This window comes from Homo sapiens, chromosome 6 (assembly GCF_000001405.40).
Source record: "Homo sapiens chromosome 6, GRCh38.p14 Primary Assembly".
In the NCBI taxonomy this organism is placed as follows: Eukaryota; Metazoa; Chordata; class Mammalia; order Primates; family Hominidae; genus Homo; species Homo sapiens.
The window spans coordinates 25,714,775-25,738,316 of NC_000006.12; the positions used below are offsets into that span (position 1 = coordinate 25,714,775).

The 23,542-nt window shown below is 39.8% G+C and overlaps 3 protein-coding genes and 2 pseudogenes across 4 annotated transcripts in view; 2 read left to right on the plus strand and 3 right to left on the minus strand.

Annotated features, from left to right (window-relative positions):
- Positions 1-8,968: 8,968 nt before the first annotated feature.
- SLC17A1 (solute carrier family 17 member 1) overlaps positions 8,969-23,542 on the minus strand; it is a 108,310-nt gene continuing 93,736 nt past the window's right edge. The window contains exon 13 of the mRNA XM_017011201.3: positions 8,969-9,019. The gene's annotated coding sequence lies outside the window, so the exon portion shown is untranslated. The remainder of the gene's footprint in view (positions 9,020-23,542) is intronic.
- Positions 11,289-11,788, minus strand: H2AC1 (H2A clustered histone 1). The gene has a single exon (NM_170745.3). It carries the CDS (start codon positions 11,751-11,753, stop codon positions 11,358-11,360), a length of 396 nt encoding a protein of 131 aa, NP_734466.1. The 5' UTR covers positions 11,754-11,788; the 3' UTR covers positions 11,289-11,357.
- On the plus strand, positions 12,003-12,571 carry H2BC1 (H2B clustered histone 1). The gene has a single exon (NM_170610.3). It carries the CDS (start codon positions 12,135-12,137, stop codon positions 12,516-12,518), a length of 384 nt encoding a protein of 127 aa, NP_733759.1. The 5' UTR covers positions 12,003-12,134; the 3' UTR covers positions 12,519-12,571.
- H2BC2P (H2B clustered histone 2, pseudogene) lies at positions 16,954-17,392 on the minus strand (annotated as a pseudogene).
- On the plus strand, positions 17,607-22,931 carry H2AC2P (H2A clustered histone 2, pseudogene; annotated as a pseudogene). Its single transcript, NR_045125.2, has 2 exons — positions 17,607-18,775; positions 22,486-22,931. The product of NR_045125.2 is annotated as a H2A clustered histone 2, pseudogene (transcript).

The window sequence follows — 23,542 nt, forward strand, 5'->3', positions numbered from 1 at the left end:
AAACACTGCGAGGCCATATCGCTAGTACTCAGCATATGCAAACGTTTTAACCAGATATGTTTCCTTATATGGGTTCTCTGTTCTAGCCTTAACTTGCCTAGAGCCTTCCTAACCCTTGGTGTGACCCTCTGTCTCCACTCTCTTTTCCACACATCAAAACATTATTCACCTTCAAGCACAGCTCAAAGCTCACTTCTTCCAGGAGGCAGTCCCTGATTAATCAGATGGAAGTGGTCACTTCCCCTCAGGAAATGAGACAGCTGCTCTATGAAGAAAAGAGCATTAGACTGAGAATCAGAAGGGCTGAACCCAAATCCCAGCTTTGCTAAGAACTCATTGAGGGACTATATTAGTTTCCTAGAGCTTCCATAAGAAAGTATCACATACTAGGTGGCTTTAAACAATAGAAATGTATCATTTTACAGTTCTGGAGGCTGGAAATCTGAAATTAAGGTGTTAGCAGAGCTGTTTCCTTCTGAAAGCTATGAGGGAGAATCTCTTTCATGTCTCTTTCCTAGCTTCTGTTGGTTTACTGGCAATCTTTGGTGTTCCTTGGCTAGTAGAAGTGCTACCCTGATGTCTGCCTTTATCTTCACATGGCATTCTCCCTGTTTGCATGTCTGGCTCTGTATCCAAATTTCCTCTTTTTATAAGGACACCATTCATATTGGATTAGGGGCCCACCCTATGCCAGTATGACTTCATCTTAACTAATTACATTTGCAATGATCCTATTTACAAATAGGTTGTATTCTGAGGTACTGAGGGTTAGACTTCAAGATCTGAATTTGGAGAGTATGCAATTCAACCTGTAACAGGGCCCATAGGAAAAAAAAAATCCCTCTCAGTTTCCTGACCTATAAAATAGAGGTAAAGTAGAAATAACTACTCACGGAATCCTTGGAAGGATTAGTGTAGGTAGTTACCTAGCTCTGTGGCTCAGTGGATGCATATGTTAGATTCCATATGTTATCATTTTTATTTTCTGCTGTCTTATTATGCTTTTTACACCTATATATGAGTGGAAGCAGAGAGGAGAGAAGACCCAAACATAATTGATGGTTCCTCCCTGGGGGAAGTGGGGACACCATAACAGCTTCCTTCAGTGAGGCACCAAGCTAGGCAAGGACACAAGCCGTAAGCAAAGAGCTTACAGTCTGTTGGAGGGATTGCAGTGCCAGATGACCCAGCACAACTCATGAGTTAATGTTTGAAAGGTGTAGTGGTCTTTCCCTCAGTTCTTCAGCTGCTGCCTGGGACGCAGGATTTACTTCAGTGGAGTCAGTTATGAGATGCGGCAAGAAGAGAAAGTGCTCTCCAAGTGCGTGTTTATTTTACTGCAAATTTCATTTTCAGATGCATGTTTGTGTAAAATGCCTGTACATTTCCTTTGGACCATCTGCTGTGGAAGTAATAGGTCAGATTCAAGGGTGCTCTTTCCCTGCGGGCGTGGGGTCAGACCGATTCAGATCTTGTTCTCTTACACAGGCAGGGAGCCCAAAACTTGCCTCTGCTGTCCTTCTCTGAGAGTCTACCAAATGGCTTCCTTACTATTGTTGCACAACACTACACATAATTTTAAATTATATCACCCACAATTTCTTTTAGAAGCTCCACAGAAAGACGTCCATAAAATTAGCCCTAGTAGGGTTCTTATTGTTTCATTAAAGGTTTCTGGTAACTTTCTGATGTGATGGAACAGTCATAACTACAAATTTTATACATTTTGGATACATGACATAGGCGTTTGCTTTCTTTTTAGAAAAACGTGAAACTAGGAAGGGAGTGTATTCAGAACTGAGCTCCCTACCTGGCTGATGACAGAAGCATGGGCAGTGGAGGAGCCAGTAAGTGATCTCCCAGGCATTCAGCTCACTCAGCCCCGTAGCCTCCCTTAGAGTGCTTTTCCATGCTTGTGTCTTAAACAATGGGCACAAAGTGATGAATTCGGAATGGACACACAGTAGCTGCTTTTAAGCGTGATTCCACCTGCCTCTAGCTGTCGACATAAGGCCACACTAGAGTAATTTTGTGGCAAATTCTGAGCTTGGTTACAGAACTTTTGGGCAGGCAGGACTCAACAAGCAAATCCCCCCCAGAGGGGGATTATGATTTATATTTGCAAATCACCAAATAAAGTTCACATAAACCTCATGAGAGATTCCTCCTTCCATGCTATAAAGTGGAGGTCAGAAATGTCGAGACTTTCCCCAGGCTCCTCAGGAAGAAAGAAGCAGAGCCAGGACTCACACAGGACTTCTGACTCAAAAGCCTTTTCTCTCATGAGCCACTGGCCATGTGCGGTGGGCAGAAGTGGCTCTTACTCTCCTCCTCAGGAAACTCCCCAGGGCTGAGGGAGGGGATGTGCTGAAGGGTCAGCAGGTGAAAGCAACCCTCACATAGGCCCATTCTGTAGGAAAGGGCAGAGCCCCTGTGCCCCAACATCTACTGCAGCAGAGGCCAGCACTTGAATAAGAAGTGCTGAGGAAGTGACCAGCACTTCTTTCTGAAGCAAGCCTAAATTAAGGGATAGTAAACCCCAGGAAGGAAACTCTGGACTGCTCCACTAGCATGAAGACAGCCAAAAGGGCACCCAGGGTGCTCTGCAACCTTTTGCTCACAGAAGTGGAGGTGCTGAAGGTGCTTACTCTAAACTGAAAAAGGGATATTCTCTGAACTTTCCTCACTCTTTCCCATCCCCAAACTCGCAGACTGTGATAAGCCATAGTTCCACTATTAGACGGTAATCCCCTGCATGGCAAGATCTTTGTATTTCATGGTATTTCCAGAAACTCAAATTGAATCCAACATAGAATAGGCTCTCAGCAAAGGAGTATTAACGATGATATTAGATTTCTCTAGATAGATAAAGATTTCTCAACCCTGGCACTTTTAGCATTTGGGGGCAGATAATTTTTCTTTTTGGGGAGTTGTCCTATGTAAGATGTTTAGTAGCATCCCTGGCCTTGACTATGAGATGCCGGACCCACCACCAGTTGTGACAACCAAAAATGCTTCCCAACATTGCTGAATGACCATTGGTAGCAAAATCAACCTTGGTTGAGAATCACTGCTTTAGAGGAAGAAATGAACTAACATATCTGAGCCTGGGCTATGTGCTGGATGCTTTATTGATGTGATCTCAGTTTGATCTTCACAATAACCCTGTGAGGTAGGTATTACCATGTACAGCTGAACAGACTGAGGCACAGATTATGTAACTGGTTCAAGAACTCTCAGCTTAGATGTAGCAGAGCTAGATTCTGAAGTAGGCCTGTCAGATTCCTATGCTGACAGGAGGCAGAAATAACAACGGAAACAAGATCTGTACAGGCATTCGTGGGTGTTCTACAACTGTTGTTCACATAATCATCATTCTCATGTCTTTTTCAGTTTACTAAAAGGTTGAAGTCTGAATGTATATTTTAAGCACCGATTTCTATTTTTTCTCCGTAGGACTATTAAATGCAGTATTCATAATTTCACTGTAAATTTTCTCCAGTGTCACTTCAGAAATGTATTAAAAGTCAGATATATTTTCACATGGAATGACTACTGGGCTCCCCCTGGTGTTAGCTTTGATTATATTTGACTTTAAAGGAGCTCATGTGTGACCGCATTTCAAATTAATGAGAGCTTTCTCTAAGAGGCAGTTTAAAAAATTCAGCTGGCTCTCATTGATTGCATTATAAAATTGTTTTATTCAGATTTTGCAAATATTATATTTAAGGGCCTAATGTAACTTAAGTTTTATAATGTTACAAAACAACTAATTTGAATTTGTTGTTCAAATTATTTTTTATGGACCCAAAGAGACATTTGAGAATATGGGAGTAACTGGCAAAAACAAACATATACAGTCATGAGCCACATAACAATGTTTTGCTCAATGCCAGACCACATATATAACGGTGGTCCCATATATTATAACACTATATATTTACTGTACCTTTTCTATGTTTAGATATTCAAATACTTACTATTATGTTACAGTTACCCACAGTGTTCACCACAGTAACATGCTGTACAGAAACCCAGGAGAAATAGGCTATACCCTATAGCCTAGGTGTGTAGCAGGCTCTACCATCTAAGTATGTGTAAGTACACTCTGATGTTAATACAACGAAATCGGCTAATGATAAATTTCTTAGAATGTGTATCCCTGTTGATAAGCAATGTATGATAGATGTGTGTGTGTATATATATATACACACACACACATATATATGTATGATAGATGTGTGTGTATATATATATATGGAAATGTTCAGTCTCACTTTGATGAAAAGAAGTGCAAACCAAAATAATGTGGTAATGCTGTACTCTACCAACTAAACAAATTTTTCTTTAAATAACACCAAATTATGTGAGGGCAAAATAAAATTGAAACAGTCATGCTTTGCTACTGGCCTTCTGGTGCAATAATCTGGAATAGTAACAATATGCAGAAAAAGGCATAAAATCTTGTGTATTCTTTGACCTAATCATCCCATATCTAGGAATGGTTTAAACAAATACTTCAGAAGGAGTTAAAGCTATTTTTGCATAGATGTTCATTACAGCATTGATTGCAATAATAAAATATTGGAAACAGCCTAAGTAGTTAACAGTGATCAGCTTGGCCTGGCCTGGTGGCTCATGCCTGTAATCCCAGCACTTTAGGAGGCTGAGGCAGGTGAATCATCACGTGCCTGTAATTTCAGCTACTCGCGAGGCTGAGGCAGGAGAATCATTTGAACCTGGGAGGCAGAGGTTGCAGTGAGGGGGATGTTGTGCCACTAGACTCCAGCCTGGGTGACAGAGTGAGACTCCGTCTCGAAAAAAGAAAAAAAAATTCCCCCCAAAATATCCCAAACAATGAAAGATGGTATATTTAACTAAATTATGGTACAACCACTTTAGTATAGTTGCAGTTAAGGTGGGCTTTAGAGTCAGACTATCTGGGTTGAAATGCTGGCTCCAGTGCTAGTTCTGTTGCTCCAAAGAAGTTGAATCTCTTCATTGGTAAGGTGGGTATAATAGTAGTACCTAGCTATAGGATTGTTTTGAGGATTAAACAAGATCAAGTGCATAACACATTTAGAAAAAAATGTGTGGTACAAAGTGCTCAGTATATGTCTTGATGCAGCTATTGAAATTGAGAATTTAAAAATAAGAATTATAAAATTACATAACCACTTAAAAATCTAATGTTATGATATATTTCAAAAAACATGATATTGAAAGAGAAAAATGTTCTCTATAAGCATAAAGGTTGGTGGAAAAAATACAAAAATAAGAATAAATATGTCAAAATGGGAAATGATTGATGACCTTTCCACTCTCAATTTTCTATTTTACTATTATCACTTAAATACTAAAAAGTAAGCAGCTGGAACTCAGAAAAAAGTGTTTTAATTTATGTATTCAACCAGTCATTAATTGGTGTCTTCTGTGTTTTAGGCACTGCAAAATTTGGCTCAACAATTAAAACATTCTCATAAAAAGCTTTATAGTTTTATAAATATACAAAGCTTTGTATTTTAGTAGAAGAGACAGGCATAAACATTAACACCTTTAACTAGAATGTGCAACAAGGTCACCAGAAGGACATCTAAATGACTCTAAGATGGGAGGGGGGGAATCGTCAAGGAAAGCTTCACAAATGATGTAATGTATAAACGTATCCTTGAAGGACGCATAGAAACTAATTAAACGAAGAACGGCAAGAACATTCTAGAAAAGTTACACAACTCATAAAGACACAGGTGAATTAAAGTGCAATGGGTTCAAGGAACTGCAAGTAGATTGGTTATGACCACAGCATAGGAGAGTGTGGTAAGAGCCTGGTGAGACAGCTAGGGGGAGCAGTTGAGAGATGTTAATCGGAGAAATGGCAAAGGGAGAGAAGTCCTTATGTATGTAAGACTTGATGATGGGGGGTATGTGGGTGGTGAGTAAGAATAAGGAACTTCGGCTCCAGGAGGACAGGATCTCATCTGATGTGTACAGCACTGTTTCTCCAATGCTGGAAATATCTATCAAAGAGACACTGCAGGAGAAAGAAAACACCGTATGCATGTAGATGTTTGTTTCAGCATTATTTATAATAGTAAAACGATTAGAACTGTGCCTGATACTTCGTAAACTCTCAATATCATAAATCTATGACTCTAAAGTTTAGGGAAGAGGCCGGGCGCGGTGGCTCATGCCTGTAATCCCAGCACTTTGGGAGACCGAGGTGGGCGGATCACCTGAGGTCAGGGTTGGAGATCAGCCTCACCAACACATAGTGAAACCCTGTCTCTACTAAAAATACAAAAGCTAGGCGTAGTGGCACAAGCCTATAGTCCCAGCTACTTGGGAAGCTGAGGCAAGAGAATCGCGTGAATCCAGGAGGCGGAAATTGCAGTGAGCCAAGATAGTGTGGCTGCAATCCAGCCTGGGCGACAGAGAGAAACTCCGTCTCTCAAAAAAAAATATAATAATATTTTTTAAAAAAATAAAGTTTAGGGTAGAGGACTCAGGTTTCTTTGGGACACTTAAGCATATAGATGACAATTAATAACATACATTTTAGAGACAGATAGAAACAGAGGCATACTGGTAGACTGACAGAGACACAGTAAGAGGTTTATGGTTTTGCTATTAAACTCATGAATTATGCTTTAGTGTGTTTTTAACATTCCAATATGTGGTAGGGGTGATTACCTTTTTCCAAGACAGACATATTAAAATATACACTATAATTGTGAATGTATTCTTTGTCATACATTTCTGCTGTTTGTTTTCTATAAAGCTGTGTTTTGGGGTGTTAACACAATGAGAAATAGTGTATCTACCTATATTTTCCGCTTTTAATTTTCAAATTACTTTTTCATTAAATATTATCTCTGCCATTAATTTTGCAAAATAATTTTTTTGGGGGACAGTTTTGTCTGGAATGTAATTTTTCCACTCCTTTTCTTCTAAATGTTCTTCTGTGCCAATAAATTTTAGGTATTTTATAACCAAGGTATAGCTGTGTTTTACTCCTAGTCAAATACTGTCTTTTAAATGGCAAATTTAATCGGTTAAACTTCATTTTGATATTTGGACTCATTTCTAATGTTTGACTTTGCATTCTAATTTGTCATGCCAGTCCTTTCTGATTTCCTGCTTTCCACTGGACTATTTTTTTTTTTTGCTATTACCTTCTTTCTAGTCTACATTAATTTTATTATTTTAGTGGTTACATTTAATATCATAAAATATAAACCTGACTTAAGAAAATATAACAATCAGTATGTCTGTCCTCCTTATAAACAGTACAAGGACATCAACATGCTTTAATTTGTTTCAGCCCCTTTCATCTTCTGTAACTACTCTCCAGTGTTTTTGGTTTTTTTTTTTAATATTCTAGTATTATTGTAGGTTTTTTTTTTTTTACAACTAGTGTATTTATTTAGATAGATTTATACTTTTACCTCTTCCTTTGGCAATATTATTGCTTATTGCATCTCAGTCTTTCTTCTGAGTTCAGTCTTTTTATTTCAGTACATTCTTTAGCATTAATTCTTCTAGTATGAATCTGAGTGGCAAAACTTTCCAATCTTTGTCCAAAAATTATTTCACCCTTACACAAAAAAGAGTTCATCTGAGCACAGAATTTTAAATTGAAAGGTATTTTGCTTTAGAACTTAGAAGGTGTTATTCTATCGTTCCATGACTTCTGTGATTTCTGATGAGAAATCCATAACATTGTAGTGGAGGAAGCAAAACTTTACTTCTACCCTCAGGATATTTTGGTTGGGTTTGAGAATTAAATTGACATGAGAGGTCAACAGGAGAAAAGCATATAAATTTATTGAATGGAAGTTTTACGTGGCACAGGAGTAGGAAATGAAGACCCGAAGACAAAGAATGGAATGCTTATGTGAAGAATCTGACAAAGTGAAGTAAGTTGTGAAAATGTGACAGCAAAGGGGCTTGGGTTAGAGTAATTAATTAGGTGGAGAAGTGACTAGAGAGGTAAGGGTTGGTGTAACAAGGTTTATTTGTACAGATTTTCCTTGGCCTTAATTTTCTGTCCTTGATGAGAATGATACTTTCCTTCTGGTATAGGGAGGGCATCTTTCATCTCCTGCTTTTAAGAAACAAAAGGAAGGTCAGAGTGTATGTGCATCTGCTGTTTTTCAAGTGTCTATCTCCAAATAGTCAATATGTCAGAGTGACATATTTTGAAATGGTGTGTTCTGAATTCCTTCAACGTGATTTATCATAAAAAGTAAAAGGAGGCTGAGCATGGTGGCTCATGCCTGTAATCCCAGCACTTTGGAAGGCCGAGTCGGGCGGATCACCTGAGGTCAGGAGTTCGAGACCAGCCTGCTGAACATGGCAAAACGCTGACTCTACTAACAATACAAAAAAAAAAAAAAAATTCGCTGGGTGTGGTGGCAGGCGCCTGTAATCCCAGCTACTCAGGAGGCTGAGGCAGGAGAATCGCTTGAAGCCGGGAGGCGGAGGTTGCAGTGAGCTGAGATGGTGCCATTGCACTCCAGCCTGGGTGATAAGAACAAAACTCCGTCCCTGCCCTCCCCACCCAAAAAAAAAAAAAAGTAAAGGGAAAAAAGTGGCATATATTTGTCTCAGTTGCTGCTGAAGTTTTATTGTTAATAGCCAATATTTATTTTTAATTAACAACTTTTAGCAATTTTGGAATTACACAAATCCCATAAAAACCCAGCATTAGGCATAAGACAGTGTCATATTAGTCTGATTATAATAAAAAATAAGTCAGCCGGGCATGGTTGCTCACGTCTGTAATCCCAGCACTTTAGGATAAGGCCAAGGTGGGTGGTCAGGAGTTCGAGACCAGCCTGGCCAACATGGTGAAACCCCGTCTGTGCTAAAGATATAAACATTAGCCAGACATGATGGTACATGCCTGTAATCCCAGCTACTTGGGAGAATGAGGGAGGAGAATCGCTTGAATCCAGGAGGCAGAGGCTGCAGTGAGCTGAGATCAGGCCACTGCACTCGTCTGTGCGACAGAGGAAGGCTGTTGGGGGGGAAAATAAGTCAATATCACCATTTTTATTATCACGTGTAACTATTAGACAATGCATTTAGACAAAGTCAACTATTTAAAACAACAGGACAAAATTATATGATTTTTCTGCCTACCTGGAAAACCACAGAGGAAAAAAGCTGGACAACAGAAATGACAGAATAAGGAAGGAAATACAAACCAGTACGAATATCAAGAATGTTCTATCTGTAAAACATCGTCAATCAGAAAACATAATAAAAGAAACCCTTCTAATATTTCCCCAAAATACAGTAATAAAAAAGAATACCTGGAGATAAACTCTATGAAACGTGTGAAAGTTCTATAAGAAGAAATCAAGGCTGGGTGCGGTGGCTAACACTTGTAATCCCAGCACTTTGGGAGGCTGAGGCTGGCGGATCACCTGAGGTCAGGAGTTGGAGACCAGCCTGGCCAACATGGCGAAACCCTGTCTCTACTAACAATACAAAAGTTAGCTGGGCGTGGGGCAGGCGCCCGTAATCCCAGCTACTCAGGAGGCTGAGGTAGGAGAATCACTTGAACCTGGGAGCTGGAGGTTGTAATGAGCCGAGATCACGCCACTGCACTCCAGCCTGGGTGACAGAGCGAGACTCTGGCTCCAAAAAAAGAAGAATCAGAAACTTCTGTAGGTAAATTGTTTTGAAAAATCAAGGGGGCATGTCTCCTGTAACATGTATTCACAATTTTTTAATATATTTTATTCTATCTAAACATTTAGTTTAATGCAATTTTAATAGGATTGCATTAGAGATAGAAATAAAAGTATTATGTAGTGCATTTGGAATAAAAGAATACACAGGTTCTCTTCTATAAAGTCAAGTCCCTCCTCCTCTGCCTTGGCAAGTCTGAGAAGTTAAGTGCCACTTTCTTGACAAAGTATCTACATTAATTACTTGGAATTCATCTGTTTAGGTTTGTCTTATATCCTGATTTTAAGTTTTACATTTGCCATGTTCTAAATATTACCCAGTTTTATTCAACATATAGTTGCCATTTCTGTTTTCAAATATCTTCAATTTTTGCCGTCCCTAACTGCATCCCTTATTTATTATGTATGCAGGTTAATTCATACTTTTGTAACTTGATTGTCCTTACTCGGCATGTTTTATTTTATAGAACTTTACCTGCTTCTATACATGCCTTATTATGTGTAGACATCAAGTGTTTAGCAGTTTTTTTTTTGGTAACCAAATGATTTTTTTTTTTTTTGAGGTAAGGTCAACTGTTGAATATCGTACAATAATTTTTAATTTAGTTATTTGGCAGCGTTACTGAATGGGTTTTGCTTTTCACTTTCTCTTGGTGTTTACAGCACAAACTGCAAACACAGATCAACAAACTATTTTGCCTCTTTTCAACAGTCAAAACTTTTGAAGCATATACTCTTCCAAATTTCTAAACTTCAAATTATGTTCGGCCTTCTAGTCCCATTCCTGCCTGAGTCTAACACTAGTATCTCACCATCACATATGGCGTAAGGCTTCTTTTTGACATATTTTACTTACATTTTAAGAAATAATTCTATTATTCTTTACAAAGTACGTGAAACCACAGGTATCAAATATATATGCTTACCCAAATTTTAAGATTAACTTACTTACATGCCACATTTAATTATGAGTATTTCGTGAAACTACCATATTTGAAAGGAAATTCTCTAAAATGTACTTTAACCAGCCAGACTGATGTTACCTGGATTTAAACAGGAAGATTACACCTCTCCTGCTTGTAATGCAATTTTCACTTCCATGTGTAACCCTTAACATAACTAACATACATAAATCTAGTTTGAGATAGTCTCGCTCATGTCACCCAGACTGGAGTGCAGTGGAGCAATCAATCTTCGTTCACTGTAACTTTCGCCTCCCGGACTCATGAACAACCCTCCCACCGCAGCCTCCCGAACAGCTGGGACTACAGGCCTGCATCACCAGACCCAGCTAGTTTCTGTGGGGACAGGGTCTCAATTATGTTAACGGTCAAGCCCCAGGCTTGAACGACCCTCCCGCTCCAACCTCCACTGAAGTGCAAGTACTGACTGCTCACAAGCGTTAAGCCACCTCGCCCAGTGACATATATAACCAAAATTACCTCAAACTAATGGCCGATGGAACGCTCCTTGAAAATTCAGTCCCCGTACATTCCCGAAATGCGCTTAAACGGGCATTTGTGACAGGCAAGTAAGATGGCTGGTTAACAGCAGTAACGTTTTGTAACGTACAGCCTTTTTCTGAGACGGTAGGTGGCTCTGAAAAGAGCCTTTTGTTTTTTCTGACACAGAAGTCTTTTTACCAATGACAACCTTAAGTTACTTGCTTTGGGCTTTATGGTGGTGACTCTCAGTCTTCTTGGGCAGCAGCACTGCCTGAATGTTAGGCAGGACTCCGCCCTGGGCAATGGTCACGCCGCCCAAAAGCTTATTGAGTTCCTCATCATTGCGGATCGCTAGCTGCAGGTGGCGGGGAATAATGCGAGTTTTTTTGTTATCGCGAGACGCATTGCCTGCCAGCTCAAGGATTTCTGCTGTGAGATACTCTAACACTGCCGCCAAATACACTGGTGCGCCTGCCCCTATCCGCTCTGCATAGTTTCCCTTACGAAGCAGACGATGGATCCGGCCTACGGGAAACTGCAAACCCGCTCTAGAAGAGCGAGACTTAGACTTGGCGCGTGCTTTTCCTCCCTGCTTCCCTCGTCCAGACATCTCCTCGCATCAAATTGCAGCAACACGAGAACCACATTTCTAGGGCTGCTACTGGGCCTATTTATAGTCTGACTGAGGTTGGCATTTGCTATCTGATTGGCTGATGGCCGTCTACCCAATCAGAAAGTCGTACTAGAATCGCCTCATTTGCATTCACGCCACTTCCCATTGTCCAATCAGATTTTGGATACCGAACGCGGCGTTTGAGGGCCGTGCCTATAAATACCGCATCTTTCATCCTCCAGTTCTGTTTGTTTACTTGGCGAGACTTGGAGCTGAGGTCATTTGGAGCTGTTTAATACTGAAGAGCTGTTGAGCACTGGAAAGTGCTGTGTAACCCTGGAAAAGAACCGTGTAACGCTGCAGAAGTGTGTGGTAGCTATGCCGGAGGTGTCATCTAAAGGTGCTACCATTTCCAAGAAGGGCTTTAAGAAAGCTGTCGTTAAGACCCAGAAAAAGGAAGGCAAAAAGCGCAAGAGGACCCGTAAGGAGAGTTATTCTATTTACATCTACAAAGTGCTAAAGCAGGTCCATCCGGACACTGGCATCTCTTCGAAAGCTATGAGCATTATGAATTCCTTCGTCACTGATATCTTTGAGCGTATAGCGAGCGAGGCATCACGTTTGGCTCACTACAGCAAGCGCTCCACCATTTCTTCCAGAGAGATTCAGACAGCAGTGCGCTTGCTACTGCCGGGAGAGCTGGCTAAACATGCTGTGTCTGAGGGCACCAAGGCTGTCACTAAGTACACCAGCTCCAAGTAAGCCTGCTAAGTAAACGTCATTTCTAACCCAAAGGCTCTTTTCAGAGCCACTTAAACATACTGAAACAGCTGTGGGCTTCGTTTTTGTGTAGTTTCTAACCGTAAGGGTTTTTTTTTTTTTTGAGGCGGAGTCTCACTCTCCCAGGCTGGAGTGCAGTGGCGGAATCTCGGCTCACTGCAAGCTCTGCCTCCTGAGTTCACGCCATTCTCCTGCCTCAGCCTCCTGAGCAGCTGGGACTACAGGCTCCCACCACTACACCCGGCTAATTTTTGTATTTTTAGTAGAGACGGGGTTTCACCATGTTGGCCAGGATGGTCTCAAACTCGATCTGGTGATCACCCACCTCGGTCTCCCAAAGTGCTGGGACTACAGGCGTGAGCCACTGCGAATATATCCAAATCAGCTGTGGGCCGAGGGTAGACGAACTAGTTGCAGCAAGACAATCCTTGCTAGGCACCGTGACTCGCCTGTAATCCCAGCACTTGCAGAGGTCGAGGCTGGCGGTTCATGAGGTTAAGAGACGGAGACCATCTTGGCCAACAAGGTGAAACTCCGTCTCTACTAAAAATACAAAAATCAGGTGGGCGTGGTGGCGTGCACTGTAGTCCCAGCTAATTGGGAGGCTGAGGCAAGAGAATCGCTTGAACCCAGGAGCCGGAGATTGCAGTGAGCCGAGATCGTCACTGCACTACAGCCTGGTGACAGCGAGACTGTCTCAAAAAACAAAACAAAAAAACCCCCTAGTTTGTATAAAAGCTACATGCTGATACTGGTATATTTAAGGTTAGCATTACACATAATAAAACTAAAAAGCGCAGCGACATAGACAGTATAACTTGCATTATGATCCCAAATTTTAAGACCTCACAAAAAGGGAATAGTTTAGAGGAAGTTACGTTTTGTGCCACAGGTAAGTCAAGGTGTGGAAATGATTGTGCGAACTCTGGAGAACTCACAAATCTGGTTAGCAGGAATTAAACGGATTTAAAATGTCCCTTAATTTTCTTAAATTTATAATAGTTTCCTTCATTGTCATGTTACTGGTTGTTGGACTCCATCTGTAAGAGCTCCCAAGCATTAAACTGATTTCAGCCACCTTAAAAATGGATCAAATATTACTTCCTGGAAACCTGTGGTTAGCTGGAATTCTCAATTTGTTTAACGCATCTTCATTTAACCTTTATCTTTTAACAAAATTTTGGATATGTATATGTGCTTTCTCTACATTAAAAAGTTAGTACCGGCCGGCGCGGTGGCTCACGCATGTAATCCTGCACTTTGGGAGGCAGAGGAGGGCAGATCACGAGGTCAGGAGATCGAGACCATCCTGGCTAACATGGTGAAACCCTGTCTCTACTCAAAATACAAAAAATTAGCTGGGCGTGGTGGCACGTTCCTGTAATTGCAGCTACTTGGGAGGCTGAGGCAGGAGAATCCCTTGAACCCGGGAGGCGGAGGTTGCAGTGAGCCGAGATCGCCCCACTGCACTCCAGCCTGGGTGACAGAGCGAGACTCCGTCTCAAACACAAACAAAAAAATATATCAATGTATAACAAGACCCGTTAAAATAAGTGCCCCCACACTTTTGTGAACAGTAAGACAGTCCCTGCAAAGCCCCTGCATGCTTTAGCTGGGAAATCTTCCAGGGAGGTGACAAATTGGGGGGAAGGGGCATCTAGCATCTATGCTCACCTTGTATTGGGGATGGGATCATCTCTAATCAGGGATTCATGCTTCTCTAACACCTTGGAAAACAGCAGGTATCACATAGCTGCCAAATAACCTGTCGACTTTGTGACCACTGTCAGACTACCCTGATTACCCAAGGACTTTTAGGCTTATTTGGGCAATAGATAAGTAGGAATACCAGCAAATAAAAACTGTTTTCAGACCAAACTTCATGTAGCTTTTATATCAGATGTATTTTGGCTGCAAATAATAGGAAATGCTAGCTGAACTGGTTGAGATAAGTAATGCAACCAAACAGGACAACATAAAGGCAGAGAAGTTCCACCAATAGGATAATCACAGCCCTGGCTCCACTACCCTGCAGTCTTGCCTCTGCCCTTCTCCACACTGTGACTTTGCCATCATACTAGTTACAGTTGCAAGTGTTCATGCAGAGAGGATAGGATAAAGTAAAGGCAGGAAGAGTCAGTCTATTCCACTGGGTCTTGGATTGAAAGCAAGAGGAGTCTTCCCAGAGGACCCGTTCCTCTCAGGTCCATTTTCTAGAACTGAGCTAGTTCAGGTGCTGCCTGAGTCATTCACCTACAGAAAACCACGGGATGGGTGTGAACTGATCATCTACCTTCATATATATTTGGCATTTTAAAAAGTTAAATATAGTTCTGGGTATTTTGTTTTTGTTGTTACTGTAAATGAGGTATTTCCTATTCATTATTTTTTAACTTTTTTTGTTATATATGTAAGACTGCTTTCCGTGCATTTTTTTTTAATATCCTTCTAGTACCTCACTGAATTGACTTATTTTCCTATTGGTTTCTTGATAGATTTTCTTGAGTTTTACATGTTTGCAATATAGGTTGAGCATCCGTAATCCAAAAAGCTCCAACATTCAAAACTTTTATTGTACTATTGATTTCTTTGCAAGTCTAGCTGATCCTATACACAGCTTAATATAAATTTCTAAGTGCATGCAATAAAATACTTAATACTATTAATAAAACAATACCAAATTGAGTTTTCAAAATATTTTTTAAAATGTGTGATATAGTAATATTTGTGCTTCAAATAAGATTGAAAATGGTAATATTTTAGTGCATACATTGTGGAAAACAGTATAGAATTTCCTCAAAAAATTAAAAATAGAACTACCATATAATCCAACAATCCTACTACTGGGTATATATTGAAAGGAAATAAAATCAGTTTCTCAAAGAGATATCTGTACTCCCATGTTCATTGCAGAATTATTCTCAATAGACAAGATATAGAAAGAACATAAAGGTCCTTCAGGAGATGAATGGCTAAAGAAAATGTGGCATACATACATAATAGAATACTATTTGGCCTCAAAAAAGAAAAAGAATTCTGTCATTGGCAGCAACATGGATGAACCTGGAGGATGTTAAGTGAAATGAGCGAGGCACAGAAAGACAAATGCTGTATGATCTCATAAGTGGAATTAAAAAAAAGTTGAACTCATATAAGTAGCAGAGTGGTGGTTACCAGTGGCTAGAGTTGGGGAGTGGTGGGAAGATATTGGTTAAAGGATATGAAATTTCACTTAGGAGGAATAAGCTGAAGAGCTCTATTGTACAATATGCTGATTATAGTTGGTAACAATATGTTGTATTGAAAATTGCAAAGAGTAGAGTTTAAGTGTTTTCATAAAAAATATGTGGGGTAATGCATATGTTAATTAGATTGCCATTCCGCGATGTATACATATTTCAAAACATCATGTTGTACACAGTAAATACACAATTTTTGTCAATTTAAAAAATGAAAATAGTTGGGTGGAGAGTGGTTTTTAGGGAGGCAAGATTAAGAGCAGTGAGATTAATTGGAAACTAATTCAGGTGTGAGATCATGAGTATGCAGACAAAAATGTTAGCGGTGGAGATGGTGTATAATCAGACAACAGAAATATGTAGGAAGTAAAATTACCATATCTTGAGAGACTGAAGTGGATGGAGGTTGAACAGAGACTATTAGGGAAAAAATACATTTCTGGCTTGGACAACCATGTGAATAGGGTGGTACTCATGGATATAGAGAATGCAGAAGTTCAGGAACAGTTCTGTTGGGATCAACTGGAAATCCCTGTGGAGATAATTCTTAAGCGGCTAAGCAACATAAGAACTGTGATATTGAGTAAGCAGTTTACTGGAGTTCACAGAGACGCAGAAACCTTAGGCTTTGGACCTCAAATTCCAGCAGTTCAAGGGGAGTTAGCCTGATCACTTTTCATAATGTGCAAGAAAAGGAGCGTAAAAAGCACAAGAGATGCTGCAAAGAGAGCTATTCTATTTACATCTACAAGGTGCTGGAGCTGGTCCACCCGGACTTGGAGAATGTTTTGCACACATTATGGCCAAAGTCAAGAAAAAGCAAACAGCCTAATGCTCAGTGCCAGACTTCCCTAAGTGGGGAGCTCCAGGCCTTTTTTGCTGTCATCGTAGAGTGTTTGTAGTAGAAAACGTCATAGACAAAAAAGCCGTATTTCCCCATGGCACTGTCCACAGAAAGAATATCCCCATGAACCCAGGATTACGGGAGCTCCCATTTAATTGCCTCGGCTGTGAGATTTTAGCTTTCACCAATACTGGGGCAGATACAGTTGATTAATGCAAAGTTTAGACTTAAAGATAACCATGTTATGCCTAGTCTAGGAAAAAATTATCAGTCTGGCAACGAGGCATACTCTATAATAAAATAAACATTCTACAGCCCTATTAGAAACTTTCATTGGCTCTTAAAAGAGCCTTTGGTTTGTGGAGCTCATCTGCTGGCCCTATCATGTTTTACTTGGAGCTAGTGTACTTGGTGACAGCCTTGGTGCCCTCCGACACAACGTGCTTGGCTAGTTCCCCAGGCAGCAGCAGGCGCACGGCCGTCTGGATCTCCCTGGAGGTGATGGTCGAGCGCTTGTCATAATGCGCCAGGCGGGAAGCCTCACAGGCAATGCGCTCAAAAATGTCACTAACAAAAGAATTCATGATACTCATGGCCTTGGAAGAGATTCCAGTGTCCGCGTGGACCTGCTTCAGCAGCTTGTAGATGTAAATAGAATAGCTCTCTTTGCGGCATCTCTTGCGCTTTTTGTCCTCCTTCGAGTTTTAGCAACTGCCTTCTTAAAGCCCTTTTCGGAAATGGTAGTGCCCTTTGAAGCAAGCTCCAGCATGTTTATCTTCCAAGTTCACAGGGAGATCACTAACTGATGTTTGACTGGAGTGAAGCGTGATATTTATAGGCATGGCCCTCAACCTACGTCATTTGCATCCAACATCTGATTGGATAATAGGTAGAGTATGTAAATAAGGCAATAGCAGTAAGGTTCTCTGATTGGATAGATGGCTATCAGCCAATCAATCAGATAATCCACAATCTGCTGTCAGACTAGAAATACGCTGAGTACCCGTTTTAACGGGTGTCTTTTTCCGTTATAACTTTTAGTTTTGGGCTATGTCTTAGACTAGGGAAACTCGGGGGAAGGGTACGCGCTATTCATTCAGAGAGGTTCTGCAGTTCCCCGTGGGCGGTGTCAACGGGCTGCTCAGCAAGGGCAACGATGCCGAGAGGGTCGGGGGCTGCACGCTAGCGTACCTGCCGGCGGTTCTGGAGTACCTGGCCTCCGACACCCTGGAGTTGGCGGGCAACGCCGTCGGAACAAGAAGAAGACCCGCATCATCCCGCGCCACCTGCAGCTGGCCATCCGCAACGACAAGGAGCTCGACAAGCTGCTGGCCCGAGTGACAATGGCTTAGGGTGACGTTTTGCCCAACATCCAAGCTGTGCTGCTGTCCCAAAGGATTGGGAGCCACTACCACAAAGTCCAGTATGAATAACCACCCAAGTTGTAAAAGCCAGCGAAGTGACTTGAATGTCTAATGTCTAGAAGAAACAAAAACAAAAACAAAAACAAAAACCCCAAAGCTGAAATCAAAGGCCCTTTTCAGAGCCACTCAATTTCTGAGAAAGAGCTAGTTTACAAAAGGATTACAAAATGCTGTTTCGTCAATAAGACTACAGCTTTCGTAAACAGGACTCAGAACAGTTCTGGTTATTGGGGTATCCGAAGCAGTTTCCTTTAATACTCGGTAGTATTGACAGCAGAACTTGATGTTTCTGGGTGGAACTGTTTCAGCACCTACTTCAGGTAGGCAGAGCAGTGATTATAGCAGGCTCCTGGAAGGGAAAATGCCATTCTTCTTGGGAAAATGAACAAACAAATTAGGATGTTATTGTGACAACCTATGTAATTCCTGAGAAAAATAATGTGAAGATGGGGAATCATATTTTGGGGGTTGAATTTTAGTTAGAGTGTCGAATTAGACTAAATGATTAGAAGGAAAGGAAGATTTGTAAACTTGCAGCTTTCAGCACAACTCTTGTTGGGAGAGCATGACTGTATGGACATCAGTCAAGGAATGGGCATATCTAAACATACTCCTAGGGCGCATGTTTTCTTCTGCCAAAGAATTACCTTCCGAGAATTCTAGGATGGTTATATGTCTAGAAGACCGTAGCCATGCTATGTTAATAAACCAAAAGATAAAAGGTACATACAGGTATGTGATACCTTACTTATGTGAAGTGCTTAATACACTATAATAAAGTTTATAATGTTTATAAGGTTTATAACATACACACTAAGATACAAACCTATAATTAGCCTTTGGTTTGAGATATAATGGACACACTGAGATATAAATATGTTCATACTTATAAATACTCGTATTTATAAGTATAAAGATACTAATATTTTAGTATGTGGGTTATATCTCAAACCAAAGCCTAATACTGTGTGTGTGTGTGTGTGTGTGTATGTGTGTGTGTGTGTGTGTGTGTGTGTGTGTATGACAGAGTATTGCTCTGTCGCCCAGGCTGGAGTGCAGTGGTACAATCTCATTGCAACCTCCACCTCCTGGGTTCCAGTGATTCTCCTGCCTCAGCCTCCCGAGTAGCTGGGATTACATGCACGTGCCACTATACCTGGCTAGTTTTTTGTATTTTTAGTAGAGACGGGGTTTCACCACGATGGTTAGGTTGATCTCAAACTCCTGACCTCAGTTGATCCGCCCACCTGAGCCTCCCAAAGTGCTGGGATTACAAGGGTGAGCCACTGCACACGGCCAAAAGTTATTTTCTTCACAATCCTTGTGTCCATAAAATTATTACCCTAAACCTATAGAATTAAATAAATATAAGAGCTATTTGTTGAAAACAATTATTAAACCTCCTGGGAACTTAATTTAGATAGCGATATTTAGGAATTGTTTTAAGGTTACAAGGACATAGTTTAAAACAACCTATGTTAACATATTTGAAAATATTGAAGAAATGTAAGAATTTCTGAAAAAATAGAAATTGCTTAAATTAAACCTAGAAAGCAGTGAGGATTAAGATGAATGGGGAAAAAAATGAGGTTACCAATGAGCTAACATCCTCAAATATCAGGCTTCTTCTTAGACATTTAAGAAAAGGATAAATCTACAGCTAACGAAATGGTTTCAAATTATTAAAAAAATCCCAAAAGTGAATGAAGAAGGCATGCTACTAAGTGCAGCACATTCTCAGTTATAAGTAAATATACACAAATCTTCCATTAAATATGAGCAATCAACTCTGGTAGCCAATTAAAAAGTTAACAGTGATAAACCAGGATCCATCTACGAGTGTAAGGATGTTTGAATGCTGAGTAAAATGCAAACCTGTTTGCTAAAGGAAAAATAAATCTTAAACTCAGTAGATGCTTAAAAAGCATTTGTTAATATGTTTAGATGGATAATCTTTGTTTCTTAGTGGAATACTAGTAGTTGTTGTTAGAGGACTTTTAAAATCACTGTTATTTAATAATGTTCTTGATGATTAGACAAATCTTTAAAAAGGGTATTAAAAAGATTCTCCTATACTAGTAGAAGGAAAATAAAATCAGATTTAAGTAACAACTGCAGGGCAATGCCCCACAATTAACTGGGAAATAATTATTGGAAATCAACAGTTCTCAGAGCCACACACCCTTTCAGAAAAGGAGCTGTGATCAAGTTTCAAAAAATATCATTTCAGTAACTCGCTTATGTTCAATGTAGTAATTGCAGCTGCTTCAAAATGATGGCATTAATCTATCATCCTTAGTTCATGCAGATTGTATTATATGACAAGGGATTTTAATAAGTAAAACAGAACATTTTTGGTGAGTGTTGGCTATTTTTCATTTATAAATTCAGAAAGCCATAGTAAACATTTGCTAAAGGAAATGACAATATTCTACTGTAATTATACTGTGGAAAATAGGGAATGTAGGGGGATTAAAGACAAATGAAATGGAGAATGAGCAAGGACACATAATACTTGGTGTTAAAGCCCAGAAGGGACATAAGTACATCTGATTACCCTCTAAAGTGGGTGAATGAGGAGCAGAGAGATTAAGTGAGCAATCATGCTCTAATGCAGTCTGTTCTGCAAAAGACCAAACAAGGGAACTGTCTTACTGCTGTAACACATCACAAACTCCTAATCTGGAAACATCAACATTGACTGAATTCAAGTACCCAAACCATACAGTAGAGCTAAAAGTTTTTTCACTTTTTTTTTTTTTAACTACAACAAACATTTAAGAAATACCTTTTATTCCATGACCAAAGTCACAGTTAGGGAAACATGTACATACCAAGAGCTAAAACAAAAGTTTTCAAAAACAATATGCTATGGTGGAAGCATTCTGACATTACTTTCTAAATTATTGTGTTGTGTTCTATTGTTTTATTGTATGTTCTATTTCACAAGTGGTTCATGACTTGCTCTTCAGAACAAGATTGGGATGATGAAAATGGTCAATCAGGGCAGTCCACTCTGCACTCAGGTTTAATCAATAAAGGAACTGCACTCACTGGGGTACCATGATTGGTTCAAAGGTTGGGCATGCCACCCAAGCTGAGCCAGTAAGAATCTTTTCTGATATTTTCAGACATGGAGATTGAAGAGACATATTTATAGGGTTGCAGGACAAATAAAAAATTTTAGAAAATTAATCCAGAGCTGCCAGTGGCTGAATCTCTTGCTCTTGGAGCACTTTAAAAAATAAAGGTGACATCAGAAATAAAAACTTCTGTGGCTGTTGAAAGAGAAGGTGGTGGGGGTGGGGTGGTAGGGGGAATGTCTGTGTATCTCAGATTCCACTCTCTGAGGACTTCAGTCCCAGCAGCTTTTCTTTCTAGTCTACGGTTACCCTAGAAGAGAACTGTTAGTGGGCCCCACCCTTTCCTCCTTAATTTATCTCAATAATGAGTTTCTTTTGTAAGAACATCTGTCTGACAAATTTAAGCAAAATTTTCGGCTTGACACAATAAAAACCTCTCCCCCAAATCATAGTCAATTAAATGTGTTTGGTCTTTAACCATGGCCCCGTATCTCAGTACTCATTTCGGTGAGATTAAATGGCTTTGTTCTTAATCAGGGTGTGCCAGAAGGGATAAGAATAAGGAAGAAGCATGAAATTAAGCTAAAAGATGGAATTTTTCTCTTTCCTTTAATACTGTAAAGCAATTAGAAGACAAATTTAGAGCCAAACAAGGGGTATGGCTGGTGCTTTGAGAAGATTTTTGGATCCTCAGAACATTTTGACTCCCTTCCATGGGGTCATTAACCCATTCCTTCCTTCTACTGTTAAGAACCCATATCAGACCAGTGGGATGGGCAGGTCTGACTCTCAGTGTCTTCTGTTACACCAAGATTCTTTTAAAATCCTGAAATTTATCAGAACTGGACCATATTTAACTAAATTGTTCTCAAGGTCTTTCTACACAGTAAAAATAAAATTAACACCCTATTATCTTTTCCATTAAATTGTACAAAATTACATGGTCCAACTGAACTCATTATGAAATCACATTTGCAAAAATTGTAACAGTGAGAAAATTATGACAGTGAAAGAGATCTGACCTAACCAACTTCATCTTGCTAGATCTTGTTAGATCTTACCTAACCAACCTCCAAACCGCCCTTGGTTATTTCTGGGCACGGGCCAAGCTAACTTTGGGAGAAATTTAGTTTCTAGTTTAAGTTATAATAGCCCTTCTCAATAAATTAAACCACCTTTGTAAAACTAATGAAAGCCTACCAGGTTAGGAGGATGAGAGGGTCTTAATTTGTAGTTGAAACATTATTCCATTACCAGCCATTATTCTATAGGTGACAAGATTTGCAACTTCTCCAATTACTCTTGTAAATAATGTCATTAGTGTAGAATCTAAGATTGGATTTTTGGATGTCTTTTCAGGCTTTTGCATTTCTGATGACTGGATGGCCCCACTGGATCCATGACTCTTGACTCAACTGGTCCTATGGCCACTACTCAGAAGTGGACTCAGCTTCAGGAAGGCCATTTTCCCTATCCCTATGATTGCTTTCTCAACCAATCAGCAGCACCCATTCCCTAGCCCCCTGCTTGCCAAACTATCTTTGAAAAACCCTAGCCTCCAAATTTTCGGGGAGGTTAGTTTGAGTAGTAATAAAACTCTAGTCTCCCTTCTAGCCTGTTTTACATGTATTAAACTGTTTCTCTATTGCAATTTCCTTATATTGATAAATTGGCTTTATCTGGGCAGCAGGCAAAAGAAACCCATTGGGTGGTTACAACTGCTATTACAACCAGTAATATATGACCATCATATGGCACCCAAATAACATGATTTTGGAAATAAAAGTTACTGCCTTCCAATGAAATAACAATGTTACTAGATCACTGACAGTTTCCCCCTTTCAAAATATAATAACAAAAATTAGGAATTCCTTCAAAAGAGTCTTCTCTACGATTGTTACGACAGAGAAATATAAGTCCTACATTATATAAATTGTTTTATTCTTAACATGTTTCTTCTGATTCCCCTTAATCCTAGACATTCAGATTCTACCTGGATTCTAGATTGGTATCTAAGATCAGGAGCAAGGCAAAATGTTCACTCACAATTAAATTCAACTGTATACTGGAAGTCCTTGCTAGTACAACAAGGCAAGAAAAAGAAATTAAGGGCATATGGATTTGGGAGAAAATAAAACTCCCTATATTCACAGATGATATGATTGTTTATGTGAAAAATCACAATAAATCTTAAAAGTACAAGTAAAAGGAACTAGAACATCTAAAACTATTTTGAAAAAGAATAAAGTGGTAGGGATAACTGTAACCAAATTCAGGACTTATTATATAATATAGTAATCAACACTGTGTAGTAATGGCAGAATAGATCAATGGAACAGAAGAGAGAACACACAGATAGTCCTACACAAGTATGACCAACTGAGTTTTGACAAAGATTAAAAAACAATTTAATGAA

Bases quoted from the DNA above. Each gene is read 5' to 3' on its own strand.
- H2BC1 (NM_170610.3), top strand. From the start codon at position 12,135: ATGCCGGAGGTGTCATCTAAAGGTGCTACCATTTCCAAGAAGGGCTTT.
- H2AC1 (NM_170745.3), bottom strand. From the start codon at position 11,753: ATGTCTGGACGAGGGAAGCAGGGAGGAAAAGCACGCGCCAAGTCTAAG.